The following is an 18,897-nucleotide window of genomic DNA, read 5'->3' on the forward strand; positions in this document are numbered from 1 at the left end:
TATATTCTAAAATCAGGTAGCATGAAAATGGAAACATAACATACTAAAACATATGGGATGCAACAAAAGCAGTTATAAGAGGGACATTTATAGCAATAAATGCCTACATCAAAAAAGAAAAAAAAGATCTCAAATAAGCAACCTAATATTATGCCTAAAGGAGCGAGAAAATTAGAGAACAATACAAGCCCAAAGATAGCAGAAGGAAACAAATAACAAAGATCAGAGCAGAAATAATATAATAGAAACTGAAAATTTCAATAAAAATAAGAATTGTTTTTTGAAAAGATAAACAAAATTAACAAATTCTTACATAGACTAAGAAAAAAGAAAACAAACTCAGAAGTGAAAGAAGAGACATTACAACTGATACCACAGAAGTTAAAAAATCATAACATACTACTATAAACAATTATTCACCAGCAAATTAGATAACCTAGAAGAAATTGATAAACTCGTACCAAAACTGAATCATGAAGAATTCAAAATTTAGAAGAAATCATGAATAAGGAAATTAAATCACCAATGAAAGGTCTCTCATAAAAGAAAGACCAAGGATTGAATGGCTTGGTGGCTGAATTCCAACAAACACTTAGATGACTAACACCAATCCTTCCCAAACTCTTCCAAAAAAAATGAAGAAGAGGAATACTTTCAAATTCATTTTTCAAAACCAGCATTACCCTGATACCAAAACCAGAGAAGGACACTATAATAAAAATAAATTGCAGACCAATACTCCTGATGAACTTGGATGGAAAAACCTTCAGCCAAATATTAGCAAATATTATTTTTAAAAAAAAACAGCAAAAAAATTCACCAGCTTAAGTGGGATTCATCCCTGGGAAGCTTATTAGTCTTATTTGATTCGTGTAATCAGAAAATTTCTATGTCTAGTGAAGAGAAATGAGAGCAATAGAGACTCATAGCACCTCAACAAATGTCCAGGCTTGAGCCAGTTAACAAATACAAGTCCTTCAAATACAAAAAAGACTGTGAAAGAAAATAGAACAGATCAATGAGACTAAGAATTTGTTCTTTGAAAAGATAAAACTGACAAACCATTAGCTAGACTAGAAAAATGAGAGAATACTCAAAGCAATAAAATCAGAAATGAAAGAGGAAATATTGCAACTAATACCACAGAAATACAGAGGATCATAAGAGGCCACTATAAACAATTACAAGCCAACAAATTGGATAACCTAGAAAAAGCAGATAAATTTCTAGAAAAATGCAACTTACCTAGAGAAAGTCAAGAAGAAAGATAAAATCTGAACAGAACAATACTGAGTATGGAGAGTATATCAATAATAAAACATCTCCCATCAAAGAACATCCCAGGACCAGAAAACTTCATTGCTGAATTCTAACATTTTAAAAAATAATAATACAATCCTTCTGAAATTCTTCCAAAAACTTGAAGGAGAAAGAGTATTTCCAAACTCATTTTAAAAGATCAGCATTATTGTTTTTTTTTAAAGTGATGTTCCCCTTCCTGTGTCCATGTGTTCTCATTGTCCAATTCCCACCTATGAGTGAGAACATGCGGTGTTTGGTTTTTTGTCCTTGTGATTGTTTGCTGAGAATGATGGTTTCCAGCTTCACCCATGTCCCTACAAAGGACATGAACTCATCATTTTTTATGGCTGCATAGTATTCCATGGTGTATATGTGCCACATTTTCTTAATCCAGTCTATCATTGTTGGACATTTGGATTGGTTCCAAGTCTTTGCTATTGTGAATAGTGCCACAGTAAACATACGTGTGCATGTGTCTTTATAGCAGCATGATTTATAGTCCTTTGGGTATATACCCAGTAATGGGATGGCTGGGTCAAATGGTATTTCTAGTTCTAGATCCCTGCGGAATCGCCACACTGTCTTCCACAATGGTTGAACTAGTTTACAGTCCCACCAACAGTGTAAAAATGTTCCTATTTCTCCACATCCTCTCCAGCACCTGTTGTTTCCTGACTTTTTAATGATGGCCATTCTAACTGGTGTAAGATGGTATCTCATTGTGGTTTTGATTTGCATTTCTCTGATGGCCAGTGATAGTGAGCATTTTTTCATGTGTTTTTTGGCTGCATAAATGTCTTCTTTTGAGAAGTGTCTGTTCATATCCTTTGCCCACTTTTTGATGGGGTTGTTTGTTTTTTTCTTGTAAATTTGTTTGGGTTCATTGTAGATTCCGGATATTAGCACTGGGGCCTGTTGTGGGGTGGGGGGAGGGGGGAGGGATAGCATTAGGAGATATACCTAATGTTAAATGATGAGTTAATGGGTGCAGCACACCAGTATGGCACATGTATACATATGTAACTAACCTGTACGTTGTGCACATGTATCCTAAAACTTAAAGTATAATTTAAAAAATAAATAAATAAAAATAAAAATAAAAAGGCAAACAAGGACACTATAAGAAAAGTATGGGCCAACCAATATCCCTGATGAACACAGATACAAAAGTCCTCAAAAAAAAGTACTAGCAAGCAGAATTTAACAACATATTAGGAGAACATTTACCATGATAAAGTGGATTTATCCTCCAGATGTTTCAGCAAACACAAATCAAATGTGATAAACCACATTAACAGAATGAAGGATAAAAAAATAGCTATCTCTATATATGCAGAAAAAGCATTTGACTAAATTCAAAATCCTCTCATGACTAAACCTCTCAACAAATTGGGCATAGAAGGCATGTACCTTAACACAAAACAGGACATATATAACAAGCTCACAGCTCACATCATACCCAACAATGAAAAAGTGAAATCTTTTCTGCTAAGATCAAAAACAAGACAAGGATATTTATTCTCACTACTTCTATTCAACTTATTTCTGGAAGTCCTAGCCAGAGCAATTAAGCCAAATAAAGAAATAAAAGATTCAAATTGAAAAGGAAGAAGTAAAATTGTCTCTGTTTGATGACATATTATATATAGGAAACCCTAAAAACTCCACCAAAAAGCTATTAGAAATGATAAATGAATTCAATAAAATTTCAGAATTCAAAATCAATGTACAAAACTCAGTAGTTTCTTTACACTCACAACAAACTATATGACAAAAATAAAGAAATCAATCTCATTCACAGTAGCATCAAAAAAAACGTATTTTTTTTGTTTAGGAGCACATTTAGGATTGTACTTAGGAGTACATTTAACCAAGGAGGTGAAAGATCTGTATTCTGAACACTATAAAACATTGATGAAAAATTGTAGATGACACAAATACATGGAAAGATATTTTATGTTCATGGGTAGGAAGAATTAATATTCTTAAAATGTCCTTACTGCCCAAAGCGATTTATAGGTTTAATGCAATATTTATCAAAATTTCAATGTCATTCTTCACAGAAATAGAAAAAACAATTTGAAAATTTATATGGAACCACAAAGGATCCTGAATAACTAAAGGACTCTTGAGCAATAAGAACAAAGCTGAAGGCCTCACAATCTGACTTCAAAACATATTACAGGAAAAGAACAAAAGAAGGAAGAAGAGGGTAGAGGAGAAGTGCAGCAAGGGTGGAGGGAGGTGCCCACGCTGGGTCGGAGGAGCAGGAGGAGTATGGAGGGAAGACTCCTGGGTGGCATGGAGCTCTTGCACCTCTAGGCACTGCCCAGCCCTGTGTCAGCCAGGGCTGAACCCCCACAGGATAAGGAAGCCTGTGTGTGTACCAACAATCAAAGCTACATCTGTGACACAACAGGACACTGCTATGGGCAGTCTCAGTGTTGTAACTACTACTATGAACATTGGTGGTTCTGGCTGGCGTGGACCATCACCATCATCCTGAGCTGCTGCTGTGTCTGCCACCACAGCCAAGCCAGCCCTCAAGTCCAGCAGTAGCAACATGAAATCAACCTGACTGCCTATCCAGAAGCCCGCAATTACTCAGTGCTACCATTTTATTTCACCAAACTATTTATTACCTTCTTATGAGGAAGTGGTGAACTAACCTCCACCTGTTTCCCTCCCTGTCTGTCCATTGTGGATGAGCTCTGAGCCCTGTTTTCCTGTGAAGATTCTTTGAATTGCAGCCATTCTATTCACATGAACTCTCACATCTGGAGCACAGATGGCCCTCTCAAGGTAATTTATTGTATGCATTGACTGTTTACCAAACAAATGTCTTACTATGTACTCAGGTATATTCAGCAGCATTGTCGACTGCAGTCCCCTATGCTTGCCAGAAGATACTGTATTCAAAGTAGAAGTTTCACAGTGATGAGTAATCACTGCAATTTTCCCATTGCTCCATGGACTCTCGGAGGCCGGTGTTCTGTTCCCTGTAAATAGAGATGTACTCTGAACCTTTCTGCCTCCCTCAGCTGTTCCTAGTCCTTGGTATCAGCCCCTGGAGATGTCCACAACCACTTAGGACAAAAGGCAAAAGTGGAATTTCAGACAAAACTTTGATAGGATCTTCAGTGATAAACTTGGACTAACTGTGGCCCAGGTATCAGCACTCCCAAGAATTGCCAGGAGGAAGCTTTGGCAGACACCACAGGTATGGCAAGGCCTATCTCCCTCTGCTGAATCCAACAGGGGCAAGCAAGCTGGCATGTGGCTTGAGGTGACCCGAATATGTCAGCACCCCTCAGATGTCTTTCTTTGCACTTTTGAAAAAAATCTCAGAATTTGCTGGCAACATGGCCAAATAGGAACAGCTCCAGTCTGCAGCTCCCAGTGAGATCAATGCAGAATGCAGGTGATTTCTGCATTTCCAACTGAGGTACCTGGTTCATCTCACTGGGACTGGTTGGACAGTGGGTGCAGCCCACGGAGGGTGAGCCAAAGCAGAATGGGGCATTGCCTCACCCAGGAAGTGCAAGGGGTTGGGGGAATTCCCTCCCCTAGCCAAGGGAAGCCCCGAGGGACTGTACCATGAGGAACGGTGCACTCCACCCAGAAACTATGCTTTTCTCATGGTCTTCACAATCCACAGACCAGGAGATTCCCTCCAGTGCCTCTGCCACCAAGGCCCTAGGTTTCAAGCACAAAACTAGGCAGCTGTTTGGGCAGACACCGAGCTAGCTGCAGGAGGTTTTTTTTTTTTCATGCCACAGTGGCAACTGGAATGCCAACAAGACAGAACCATTCTCTCTCCTGGAAAGGGGGCTGAAGCCAGGGAGCCAAGTGGTCTGGCTCGGCAGGTCCCACCCCTACAGAGCCCAGCAAGCTAAGATCCACTGGCTTGAAATTCTTGCACAGCAGTCTGAGGTTGACCTAGGACACTAGAGCTTGGTGGGGGGAGGGGCTTCCACATTGCCAAGGCTTGAGTAGGCAGTTTTACCCCCACTGTGTAAACAAAGCCACCAGAAAGTTTGAACTGGGTGGAGCCCACCACAACTCAGCAAGGCCACAGCAGCCAGACTGCCTCTCTAGATTTCTCCTCTCTGGGCAAGGCATCTCTGAAAAAAGGGCAGCAGCCCCAGTCAGAGACCTATAGATAAAACCCCCATCTCCCTGGAACAGAGCACCTAGGGGAAAGGGCGGCTGTGGGCACAGCTTCAGCAGACTTAAAGCATCTTTGAAAAGCCTGATGGCTCTGAAGAGAGCAGCAGATCTCCCTGCACAGTATTCGAGCTCTGATAAGGGTCAGACTGCCTCCTCAAGTGGGTCCCTGACCCCCGTGTATCCTGACTGGGAGACACCTCCCAGTAGGTGCCAACAGGCACCTCATACAGGAGAGCTCTGGCTGGCATCTGGTGGGTGCCCCTCTGGGACAAAACTTCCAGAGGAAGAAACAGGCAGCAATCTTGGCTGTTCTCCAGCCTCTGCTGGTGATACCCAGGCAAACAGGGTCTAGAGTAGACCTAGGGCAAACCCCAACAGACCTGCAGCAGAGGGGCCTGACTGTTAGAAGGAAAACTAACAAACAAAAAGGAATAGCATCAACATCAACAAAAAGGACAGCCACTCAGTGACCCCATCAGAAGGTCACCAACATCAGAAACCACAGGTAGATAAATCCATGAAGATGGAGAGAAACCAGAGCAAAAAGGCTGAAAATTCCAAAAACCAGAACGCCTCTTCTCCTCCAAAGGATCACAACTCCTCACCAGCAAGGGAACAAAAGAAAACTGGACAGAGAATGAGTTTGACGAATTGAGAGAAGTAGGTTTCAGAAGGTAGGTAATAACAAACTCCTCCAAGCTAAAGGAGCATGTCCTAACCCAATGTAAGGAAGCTAAGGACCTGGAAAAAAGGCTAGACCACTTGCTAACTAGAATAACCAGTTTAGAGAAGAACATAAATGACCTGATGGAGCTGAAAAACACGCCATGAGAACTTCATGCAGCATGCACAAGGATCAAGCACTGATTCGGTCAAGCGGAAGAAAGATATCAGAGACTGAATATCAACTTAATGAAATAAATCAAGAAGACAAGATTAGAGAAAAAAGAATGAAAAGAAATGAACAAAGCCTCCAAGAAATATGGGACTATGTGAAACGACCAAATCTACGTTTGATTGCTGTACCTGAAAGTGATGGGGAGAATGGAACCAAGTTAGAAAACACTCTTCGGGATATTATCCAGGAGAACTTCCCTAACCTAGCAAGGCAGGCCAATATTCAAATTCAGAAATATGGAGAACATCACAAAGACACTCCTCAAGAAAAGCAACCCCAAGACACATAGTCATCAGATTGAGCAAGGTTGAAATGAAGGAAAAAATGTTAAGGGCAGCCAGAGAGAAAGGTCAGGTTACCCACAAAGGGAAGCCCATCAGACTAACAGCAGATCTATCAGCAGAAACTCTACAAGCCAGAAGAGAATGGGGGCCAATATTCAACATTCTTAAAGAAAAGAATTTTCCACCCAGGATTTCATATCCAGCCAAACTAAGCTTCATAAGTGAAGGAGAAATAAAATCCTTTACAGACAAGCAAATGCTGAGAGATTTTGTCACCACCAGGCCTGCCTTAAAGGAGCTCCTGAAGGAAGCACTAAACATGGAAAGGAACAACTGGTATCAGCCACTGCAAAAACATACCAAATTGTAAAGACCGTTGACACTATGAAGAAACTGCATTAACTAACAGCAAAATAACCAGCTAGCATCGTAATGACAGGATCAAATTCACACATAACAATATCAACCTTAAATGTAAATGGGCTAAATGCTCCAATTAAAAAACACAGACTGGCAAATTGGCTAAAGAGTCAAGACCCATCAGTGTTCTGTATTCAGGAGACCCATCTCACGTGCAAAGACACAAATAGGCTCAAAATAAAGGGATGGAGGAATACTTACCAAGCAAATGGAAGGCAAAAAAAAGCAGGGGTTGCAATCCTAGTCTCTGATAAAACAGACTTTAAACCAACAAAGATCAAAAGAGACAAATAAGGGCATTGCATAATGGTAAAAGGATCAATGCAACAAGAAGAGCTAATTATCCTAAATATATATGCACCCAACACAGGAGCACCCAGATGCATAAAGTAAGCTCTTAGAGACTTAAAAAGAGACTTAGACCCTCACACAATAATAGTGGGAGACTTTAACACCCCACTGTCAATACTAGACAGATCAACGAAACAGAAAGTTAACAAGGATATCCAGGACTTGAACTCAGCTCTGGACCAAGTGGATCCAATAGGCAGCTACAGAACTCTCCACCCCAAATCAACGGAATATACATTCTTCTCAGCACCACATTGCACTTATTCTAAAATTGACCACATATTTGGAAGTAAAACACTCCTCAGCAAATGCAAAAAAAAATGGGAATCATAACAGTCTCTCAGATCGCAGTGCAATTAAATTAGAACTCAGGATTAAGAAACTGACTCAAACCCACACAACTACATGTAAACTGAACAACCTGCTCCTGAACAACTACTGGGTAAATAAAGATATTAAGGCAGAAATAAATAAGTTATTTGAAACCAATGAGAACAAAGACATAACATACCAGAATCTCTGGTACACAATTATAGCAGTGTGTAGAGGGAAATTTATAGCACTAAATGCCCACAAGAGAAAGCAGGAAAGATCTAAAATTGACACCCTAACATCTCAATTAAAAGAACTCAAGAGGCAGGAGCATACAAAAAGCTAGCAGAGGACAATAAATAACTAAGATCAGAGCAGAACTGAAGGAGATAGAGACACAAAAAAACCTTCAAAAAAAAATCAATGAATCCAGGAGCTGGTTTTTTGAAAATATCAATAAAATAGATAGACCACTAGCCAGACTCATAAAGAAGAAAACAGAGAAGAATCAAACAGATGCAATAAAAAATGATAAAGGAGATACCACCACTGATCCCACAGAAATACAAACTACTATCAGAGAATACTATAAACACCTCTACACAAACTAGAAAATCTAGAAGAAATGGACAAATTCCTGGACACATACGCCCTCCCAAGACTAAACCAGGAAGAAGTTGAATCCCTGAATAGACCAATAACAAGGTCTGAAATTGTGGCAGTAATTAATAGCCTACCAACCAAAAAACAGTCCAGGACCAGATGGATTCACAGCCGAATTCTACCAGAGGTACAAAGAGGAGTTGGTACCATTCCTTCTGAAACTATTCCAAACAACAGAAAAAGAGAGAATCCTCCCTAACTCATTTTATGAGGCCAGAATAATTCTGGTACCAAAATTTGGCAGAGACACACACAAAAAAAAGAAAATTTCAAGCCAATATCCCTGATGAACATCGATGCAAAAATCCTCAATAAAATACTGGCAAACCAAATCCAGCAGCACATCAAAAGCTTGTCCACCACAATCAAGTCGGCTTCATCCCTGGGATACAAGGCTAGTTCAACATACGCAAATCAATAAACATAATTCATCATATAAATAGAACCAATGGCAAAAACCACATGCTTCTCTCAATAGATGCAGAAAAGGCCTTCGACAAAATTCAGCAGCCCTTCATGCTAAAAACTCTCAATAAACTAGGTACTGATGGAACATATCTCAAAATAATAATACCTATTTATGAAAAACCCACAGCCAATACTGAATGGTGAAAAACTGGAAGCATTCCCTTTGAAAACCAGCACAAGACAAGGATGCCCTATCTCACCACTCCTATTCAACGTAGTATTGGAAGTTCTGGCCAGGGCAATCAGGCAAGAGAAAGAAATTGTCTCTGTTTGCAGATGACATGATTGTGTATTTAGAAAACCCCATGGTCTCAGCCCAAAATCTTCTTAAGCTAATAAGCAACTTCAGAAAAGTCTCAGGATACAAAATCAATGTGCAAAAATCAAGCATTCCTATATGCAAAAAACAGACAAACAGAGAGCCAAATCATGAGTGAACTCTCCCATTCACAATTGCTACTATGAGAATAAAATACCTAGGAATCCAACTTACAAGGGATGTGAAGGACCTCTTCAAGGAGAACTACAAACCACTGCTCAAGGAAATAAGAGAGGACACAAACAAATGGAAAAACATTCCATGCTCATGGATAGGAAGAATCAATATCATGAAAATGGACATACTGCCCAAAGTTTTTATAGACTCAATGCTATCCCCATCAAGCTACCACTGACTTTGTTCACAGAATTGGAAAAAACTACTTTAAATTTCATATGGAACCAAAAATGAGCCCGCAGAGCTAGGACAGTCCTAAGCAAGTAGAACAAATCTGGAGGCATCACGCTGTCTGACTTCAAACTATACTACAAGCCTTCAGTAACCAAAACAGCATGGTACTGGTACCAAAACAGATATGTAGACCAATGGAACAGAACAGAGGCCTCAGAAATAACGCCACACATCTACAACTATCTGATCTTTGACAAACCTGACAAAAACAAGCAATGGGGAAACGATTCCCTTTTTAATAAATGGTGTTGGGAAAACTGGCTAGCCATATGCAGAAAACTGAAACTGGATCCCTTCCTTACACCTTACACAAAAATTAGCTCACGATGTATTAAAGACTTAAACATAAGATCTAAAACCATAAAAAACCCTAGAAGAAAACCTAGGCAATACCATTCAGTACATAGGCATGGACAAAAACTTCATGACTAAAACACCAAAAGCAATTGCAACAAAAACCAAAATAGACAAATGGGATCTAATTAAACTAAAGAGCTTCTGCACAGCAAAAGAAACTGTCATCAGAGTGAACAGGCAACCTACAGAATGGGTGAAAATTTTTGCAATCTATCCATCTGACAAAGGGCTAATATCCAGAATCTACAAAGAACTTAAACAATTTACAAGAAAATAACAAACAAACCCATCAGTGGGTGAAGGATATGAACTGACATTTCTCTAAAGAAGACATTTATGCAGCCAACAAACATATGAAAAAAAGCTCATCATCACTGGTCATCAGAGAAATGCATATCAATACCACAATGAGATACCATCTCACGCCAGATAGAATGGCGATCATTAAAAAGTCAGGAAACAACAGATGCTGGAAAGGATGTGGAGAAATAAGAATGCTTTTACACTGTTGGTGGGAGTGTAAATTAGTTCAACCATTGTGGAAGACAGTGTGGTGATTCCTCAAGGTTCTAGAACTAGAAATATGATTTGACCCAGCAATCGCATTACTGGGTATATATCCAAAGGATTATAAATCATTCTACCATAAAGACACATGCATACATATGTTTATTGTGGCACTGTTCACAATAGCAAAGACTTGGAACCAACCAAAATGCCCATTCAATGATAGACTGCATAAAGAAAATGTGGCACATATACACCATGGAATACTATGCAGCCATAAAGAAGGATGAGTTCATATCCTTTTCAGGGACATGGATGAAGCTGGAAACCATCATTCTCAGCAAACTAATCCAAGAACAGAAAACCAAACACCCGATGTTCTCACTCATAAATGGGAGTTGAACAATGAGAACACATGGACAGAGGGAGGGGAACACAACACACCGGGGCCTGTCTGGGGGTAGGGGCTAGGGGAAGGTTAGCATTGGGTTAAATACCTAATGTAGATGATGGGTTGATGGGTGCAGCAAACCACCATGGCACGTGTATACCTATGTAACAATCCTGCATGTTCTGCACATGTACCCCAGAACTTAAAATATAATTTAAAAAAAAATCTCAAACAACTCACTGAAGTGTCTCAAAGCTGAACAAGTTTTACCAAAATGAATCCTTCTCAGTTAACTGATCAAATGGATGAATCCTGACCCTCTGAAGTCTCTTTCCTGAGTTAGAGCAGGGAACTGCTCTGAGTGTTAACTGTTGGATTCACTGCAGTGTCCTACAATATTTTACAAGAAGATGAAAAGGCAACCTGCAGACCTAGGCTTGATTCCCAAGTCACAGTCTGACCCCTGCTACAGGAGGTTACCCTCCTCAGGAAGAGATAGAAATAGGGAATTTGAAGGAATAGTGAGGGGACCAGGGAGATTTGATTGAGTCTGGTTTCCAGGTGAATTAAAAGGAAGGGTGTCATCCAGGGTTTGTTGCTACAGTCAAAAGAATAAATAAATCAATGAAGAAATACCTTCATTGTCTGTGGTTTTCATGCAGATATACTCATGGAGGTTGTATCTCTCCAAAAACAGACAAATCCAAGGCTGTGAACAAGCATCCGCATTTGAATTCCATTAAACCAAAATCTATGTTGAACGAAGTGAAGTCTGTACACAGCATTGCAAATGTGAACACATTCCTGTGTGAGGCACATCAACATTTGTCAGTTATTGTGAATATGTGTATTTTTAAGCAATAAGATGCAGCTGGTCAGTTTTCTGGGCAATCTTGGCGATGCATTTCCTGTGCTGTGGTTGTTCTCTAACCACTGTGAGAAACCCAAATAAAAATCGATCCCCCCCCAAAACAAATACGTATCACAAAACCATAGTAATCAAAACAACATGACACTTGCACAAAAACAGACACATTGACCAGGGGAACAGAATAAGGAGCCCAGAAATAAACTCATGCATTTATGACCAATAAATTTTTGACAAAGGTGCCCAGAAAACGTAATGAAGAATAGACATTTGTTTCAATAAATGGTGTTAAGAAAACTAGATATCCACATGCAGAAGAACACGAATGTGTATGGTGTGTATCCTTATCTCACACCATACACAAAAATCAATTCAAAATGGATTAAAGGTTTAAACATAAAACTGTAAAACTACTAGATGAAAACATAGGGGAAAAGTTCCACAATGTTGGTTTGGTCAAAGATTTCTTGGATATAACCCCCAAAGCACAGGCAACAAAAGCAAAAATATATGGGATTGCATCAAACTAAAAAGCTTCTGCACAGCAAAGGAAACAATATGGTGAAGAGACAACCTACAAGTTGTGAGAAAATATTTGCAGAGCATACATCTGATGAAAGGCTAATCTCCAAATATATAAGGGACTCAACTCAATATCAAGAAAACAAATAACCAAGTCAAAAAATGGGCAAGGTCCTAAATAGACATTTCTCAAAAAAAATACAAATGACTAACATAAAAAAAGTTTGTCATCCTAATTATCAGGGAAATGCAAATTAAAATGACAGTGAGATGCCACTTCATACCTGTTAGAATGGCTACTATCAAAATGATAAAAGATAACAAGTGTTGAAGAGGATACAGAGAAAAGGGAACCCTCGTACACTGTTGGTGGAAATGTAAATTAATACTATTATGAAAAATAGATAAAAGTTACTCAAAAAACTAAAACTAGAATTACTATATGATCCAGCAATCCCACTTCCTTGTATATATCCAAAGGAATTTAAGTCAATATGCTGAAGAGATATCTCCAGGCTCATGTTCATTGCAGCATTATTCACAATACCCAAATATGAAATCAACACAGGTGTCTATCAACTGACAAATGGATGAAGAAAATGTAGTGTATATATACAATGGAATACTACTCAGCCTTAATAGGAAGGAAAACCTGATATATGTGACAACATGAATTAACCCAGAAGATATCACGCTAAGTGAAATAAGCCAGGCACGAAAAGACAAATATCACATGATCTCACTGATATGTGGAATCTGAAAAAGTTGAATTCATAGAAGTAGAGAATGGAATGGTGATTATCAGAGGCTAGGAGTTGGGGGTAGACATGGAAAAGGTAGATGTTGATAAAAGGGTTCAAAGTTTCAGTTAGACAAAGTTTCAGTGAACTATTGCACAGAATGGTGACTGTAATAAATAACAAGGTATTGTATGTTTCAAAATGACTAACAGAGTAGATTTTAAATGTTTTCACCACAAAAAAGATATGTATGTCAATAAGATAGACCTAATCTTTCCACAATTTAAACATGTATCAAAACATTACATTGTACCCCATAGATACAATTATTATTTGTCAATTTAAAATTTTTCACTAATTTATATTGTTATTGTTGCACCAACTCCTTTCCACCAGGCAGATTCTCATAAAGACTATTTTCTCTCTTACATGAAGCATTTCCTACACACCTCTTAATCACGGTAGCATTGACATCATTCCACCAGATTCTATCTCCAGTGTTAAAATAATCAAGAACCCAGAAATCTCCACCAGGGGGCAACCAATGCGTATCAAAGTTTCCCACTTTCCTTTAGATTTACTTATGGGTAACTTATGGGAAAAAATACTTAAGTACTTCCCTTTTTAAAGAAAAAAATTATATGAATTCTACAAAATTATGGCAGAAAATTTAAGAAGAGCAGATGCTTCCCAACTCATTCTAAAGGGCCAGCATTACCCTGATTCTGAAATGAAAAAGCTTTACAAAATCCAAGATCCATTCCTGACTAAAGATAAAAGAAATTTTCAGCAAACTGTGAATACAGAAAACTTTCTCAGCCTGTTAAAGAGTACCTATGAAAAAAATTATAGCTAACATTATACTTAATGATGAAATATTTAATATATTTCATAACAGGAACAAGTCAAAGATGTCTGCTCTAACTAATTCTACTCAGCATTCAACAAAATGAATATAGTGAATTCATACTAGAATTTTAAAAGCAAATGTCTTTATTCACTGACAACATAATCATCTATAAAGAAAATCCTACATAACCTATAAAAAACTGATGGAACTAATAAGTTTTGCAAGTTTACAGGATATAATGTCAAACAAAGATCTATTATGTGCCCATAAGCTAAGAATAAACAATTGTAAATTGAAATAAAAATGTCACTTAAAAGGGCATCAGAAATATAAAACTTAGAGATAAATATAAAGTACATATGCATAAAGTACCTGTTCACCAAAAACTACAAAACATTGCTGAAAGAAATTAAATGGGCATAATATAGATGTAGAGATGTGTTGAATTTATGACTCATTTTGAACAAGGAATATATTCATCATATATTCATCAGATAAGAATTATGTTACAGGTCTAATAACATTCAAATCAATACATAATGTCTCATAGTTCCTGAATCTAAAATATCAAAGAAAGAAACATAAAGCCATATCATGTTTAACGAGAAGGGCTTATTGTATCATTTATGAGATCTTCTTGTAAATCACTAGCTGTTTGCATACTCTCTTTATTGCTGCCTTCATCTCCTTATTCCTGAATGTATAGACAACTGGATTCAGAAAAGGAGTGAGAACTGCATCAAAAATAGCCAGAAACTTGTCCATCTGTGAATTAGGGTGTGGCCATGTATACACAAACATGGGTGGACCAAAGAACAAAAGGACCGCTGTGCTGTGAGCTGAAAGAGTGGAAAGGGCCTTGGATGAACCACCTGAGGAATGTTTCCAAACAGTAAACAGGATGAAGACGTAGGAGATTAGAAGTATGAAGAAAGTACCCACACAGATAAACCCACTGTTAACAGTGACCATGAACTGCAATCTGTAGGTGTCGGTACAGGCTAGTCTGAGAAGCTGAGGAAGGTCACAGTAGAAGCTGTCCAACACATTAGGGCCACAGAAGGGTAAATTAACAAGAAATGCCAGTTGGAACAGGGAGTGACTGACAACAAGGGTCCAGGCAACAGCCAGAAATGAAAGGCACATTCTTGGGCTCATAATGGTCAGATAGTGGAGGGGCTTAATAGGGCCACATAACTGTCAAAGGCCATGGCTATGAGCAGCACCATCTCCACACCACCAATGACGTGGATGAAGAAGATTTGAGCGATGCAGCCTCCAAAGGAGATGACTTTGCGCTTTCTGAACAGGTCATAAATCATCTTGGGAGAAGTGACAGAGCAGGCTCCTAAGTCAATGAAGGAGAGACTGACCAGTAGAAAGTACATGGGGGAGTGTAAGTGAGGGTCAGTGGTCACAGAAAACACAATGAGGATGTTTCCAGTAATGCTTGCCACATAGAGCACAGAGGAAAACACTAGGAGGAGGAGCTGGATCTCCCATGAATGAGTGAGTCCCAGAAACAAAAACTCAGATACCACTGAGTGATTCTCTCCATCCATTGGTCCAGCCAACTGGGCTGTGGCTAAAATTATGAGAACTAAGAAAATGGGGAGGAAATTGTGATTATGAAGATAATATGTACTAAAATCAATATTGCAATGTCACTATGAATAAATAGTATACAGTTATTCTGTTCCTCACATATTAAAAACAAAAAATCAACATAATATTATCACAACATGTGAGCTGCAACCTGATTTAAACCCATCATCAATACTTTCAGTGTAATGTCTGATCTAAAATTAACAGATTAGGTAAGAACAAGATTCCTGACTATCCATGAAATTCATCAGGTGTTTAAATGACCTGCGATATTAACTATTCCTCATTTCCAACATATTCCATTTGTACTTATACATATTCTTATAATTTCCTTCCCTTCCCAGTTTGCAGCCACAATTCTCTGACAGAAAGTAGACATAAGAGGAAAACATGATTAACAGATGGATTATCACCTGCAGTAAGAGGTGCCTGGGACGGACTTAGTTGAGGTAGGCTGTGGATTGAGACAGAATATAGAGACTGGGGTATGTGAAATCGGAAAGCCCACAACTGTAGCAGAACAGAGTAAGTGGACTTTCACAAGAAATAGAATCACCACCATTATCTACCACATTTTCTCCTGCTCACTGCTATTTAAGTGCCTCAGTTTCTATACAATCTTTCACAATTACGAAGCCCTAAATGGCTTCCCATCCTGCAGTGATTTCATAAGGAGCCTATGCCACCTGTCATGTAAGGCTTTTTCCATGCCTAATAAATATGTTTTGGAGGGATTTCACCAGAGTTTTTGCTAAGATGCATAAAATGGCCACAGAGGTTGTGAGAAATCTCTGCAGTTTCTCTTTGTCTATACACATGAAAGTATTGAAGACCAGCACTTGGATTAGTTAAGATAATGTTTTAATTCATCACTGTCTCCTCCTCCCCTTGGTACCAGCTTTTATGTTCATTGCATTCCCCACCCTTTTAAGTACTCAGTACCTCCTGCATGGTAACCTATTCTGATATTTGATATTATCATGCTTAATTTGACTGAATCCATTTGGATATTTTATCTTTAAGAAATTTGTAGTTTTATACTTTTAATTTATGATAAAATTAGATTAATATCAAACATTAACAAGTGACTTTTAGGAAGGTATATGAGCTTTCTTATTGACTTCAAACTATAAAGTACAAACTGTGACACTAGAAATTTAGTCCTTTAACACATGTTGTATTTATATGTGAAGTGGAGGGTGAGCAGAAAACAGTGTTATATTTCTCTGTGTCCAGATGGATACTCACCTCAATCATTTTCCTATAGTAGAAAGTAGTTCCTGAAAACACTTAATAGAGATTATTTTAGAAGTTGCTGAGGTACAAATAAAACTGCTATGCTGACATACTTTTTTGCACCAACAACTCCAGTTCTTCTGACACAAAGGACCATCTTCCTAGTGCCATAATTTATCTTAGACCCCAAAACTCACAGAGGCACACATCATATCTCTAATACTTGCTCACCACCACTGGCATGAGTCTCTCTCTATCCTCTTCTACGTGAAGTGATTATACTGTCACCTCTGGAGCTAACTGTCCACAGTCTCAAGATGCACACTTTTACAACCAGAAGCCTATGGACTGGGTGAGGGAGCAGAAACAGCCACAGGTACTGCCCATCAGGGTAATGTAAGTCAGCGTGCAAACAACTGATCAGATGAACATGAATAGCAAGGTGCCGAGGCACTGGGAAGAGGGACCGGAAAACTCTATAACTGTTGAAAAAGACTCAAGCCCTTGGGAAGGGAAATGCCTACGAAATTATATAAAGACCATTTTATCCAAGTTGGTCATCATTCAGATGAAAACCATGAGGCCCAGAAAAGTAAACTGAGTTTCCAGAATTCACACAATTGATAGAATAGGAACCAGAATTCAGGCCTCTTGCTTCCTATTCCAGAAAGACAAATTGCAATAATAATCAAATAATATGAGCAATCATCCAGTAAAAATAATCTAGTAAAAACAGCAAAACTCAAAAGAGTGATTTTTCCTGGTTAAGACCAAACTAACCATAGATTGCTATACATAGTATCTATTATAAATACTGAATTATATAGCAGCCTGACAATAAATACATAAAATGTGTACACAAAGATTATTGAACCTGTACAATACAGTAGTAAATAGTAACTTTATATTTGCAAAGTGACTGATCATTACTATCAGAATTTGTACCCATTCTTCATATTTTGTTGGTCATATAACCAGTTACTACAACTGCAAAAACAACCTAAGGTCATGTTTCTGTGAAGTCCATCCTTTTGGTCTTTAAATTTTATTATTCTCAAAGGTCAATTATGATCTCAATCTTTTCTTGTAATTTTACTGACAATTCTCCTTCACACTGATTTGTTCTTTCTCTAATTCCTGTAAATAGAAAGAACCAAAAAAAGTTGAAAAAACATGTATTGTACATATAACAAACAATCATATGTGGTATACAATATATATCAAATGAGTATTAAGATAAACATTCAAAGAGTTTTAAAGAAAAAAGTGTTATAGATATTGGAGGGCAGAAGAGACGATTGCCATTAAGAACAGGTGGAGGAGGTTATGCCAAGGACATTGACCTGACCCTTTAGGAATTAGTGAAAATTGAATAGGAGAAGAATGAGGTATACAATGTGTGAAAAATACCTAAATTGATATAACAGGAGGAGACCTTTTCATATCAATTATCATTACTTCTGTGTATATAACCATATTAGATACCCACAAACGAATAGAAAGTGGATAGTTCTTGATTGACAAGTAAGACTAATAATCCCAGATCATAGTAAGGTCTTAACTTCAAGTCAATAATCTTTATTACTTATGGTTCATTCCTCTCCCTCATGTTTTCCAATAATTTTAAAATGCATAATTAAAACAATTCTCATTTAAAAACATAGTAGCCATGACTAATGATCTTCCAGTGGGAAGGTACTAAGACTTTACAACATGTTTCTTGCTGGGGATAAGACAGCCTACAGCCAGCATTCAACTCATTTTTCTAAAGTCTATGGATCAATTTGAAATACAGAAAAAGTAGAACAGAGATAAAGTTAAAAAAAGATTAAAAATATGGGAAGAATGGGAGAAAGGGGAGATTAGAAGATATGAACAATGATTTAAAAATAAAAGAGCCTCAAAGGAGAAGAGAAACTGCTAAGCAAGACTAAGGTAGGATGAAATACAGTAGTCTCTGTTTCTGAGAACACAGGTTAAAAAGAACATAAATAAAATAAATTTATCACCTTTAATACACTCATTCAAGGATGCTACTGAGTTTGACTTTGGGAATTTCTCACCTTTAATACACTCATCTGGGGATGCTACGGACTGTGACATTGGGTTGCATTTAACGGGGGAGAGAAAGGGCAGTTGCTTCTATTATCTGCCCTTTTGGACTCACAGAGTTTCTTTGAAAAGCACAGATGATAATAAATGGAAATATTGCCTTTTATACTA

The 18,897-nt window shown here is 38.0% G+C and overlaps 2 pseudogenes, besides 1 other annotated feature; one reads left to right on the forward strand and one right to left on the reverse strand.

Moving 5' to 3' along the window:
• Positions 3,484 to 3,990, forward strand: WBP1LP11 (WBP1L pseudogene 11; annotated as a pseudogene).
• Positions 5,148 to 5,648: an enhancer, noted in NCBI's record as "H3K4me1 hESC enhancer chr19:146969-147469 (GRCh37/hg19 assembly coordinates)". NCBI's record gives its function as "activates a minimal SCP1, AML or CMV promoter by ChIP-STARR-seq in naive H9 embryonic stem cells {active_cell/tissue: H9 hESC(naive)}" and the evidence as "EXISTENCE:reporter gene assay evidence [ECO:0000049][PMID:30033119]".
• OR4F8P (olfactory receptor family 4 subfamily F member 8 pseudogene) lies at positions 14,461 to 15,395 on the reverse strand (annotated as a pseudogene).

This window comes from Homo sapiens, chromosome 19 (genome assembly GCF_000001405.40).
Source record: "Homo sapiens chromosome 19, GRCh38.p14 Primary Assembly".
Taxonomy (NCBI): Eukaryota; Metazoa; Chordata; class Mammalia; order Primates; family Hominidae; genus Homo; species Homo sapiens.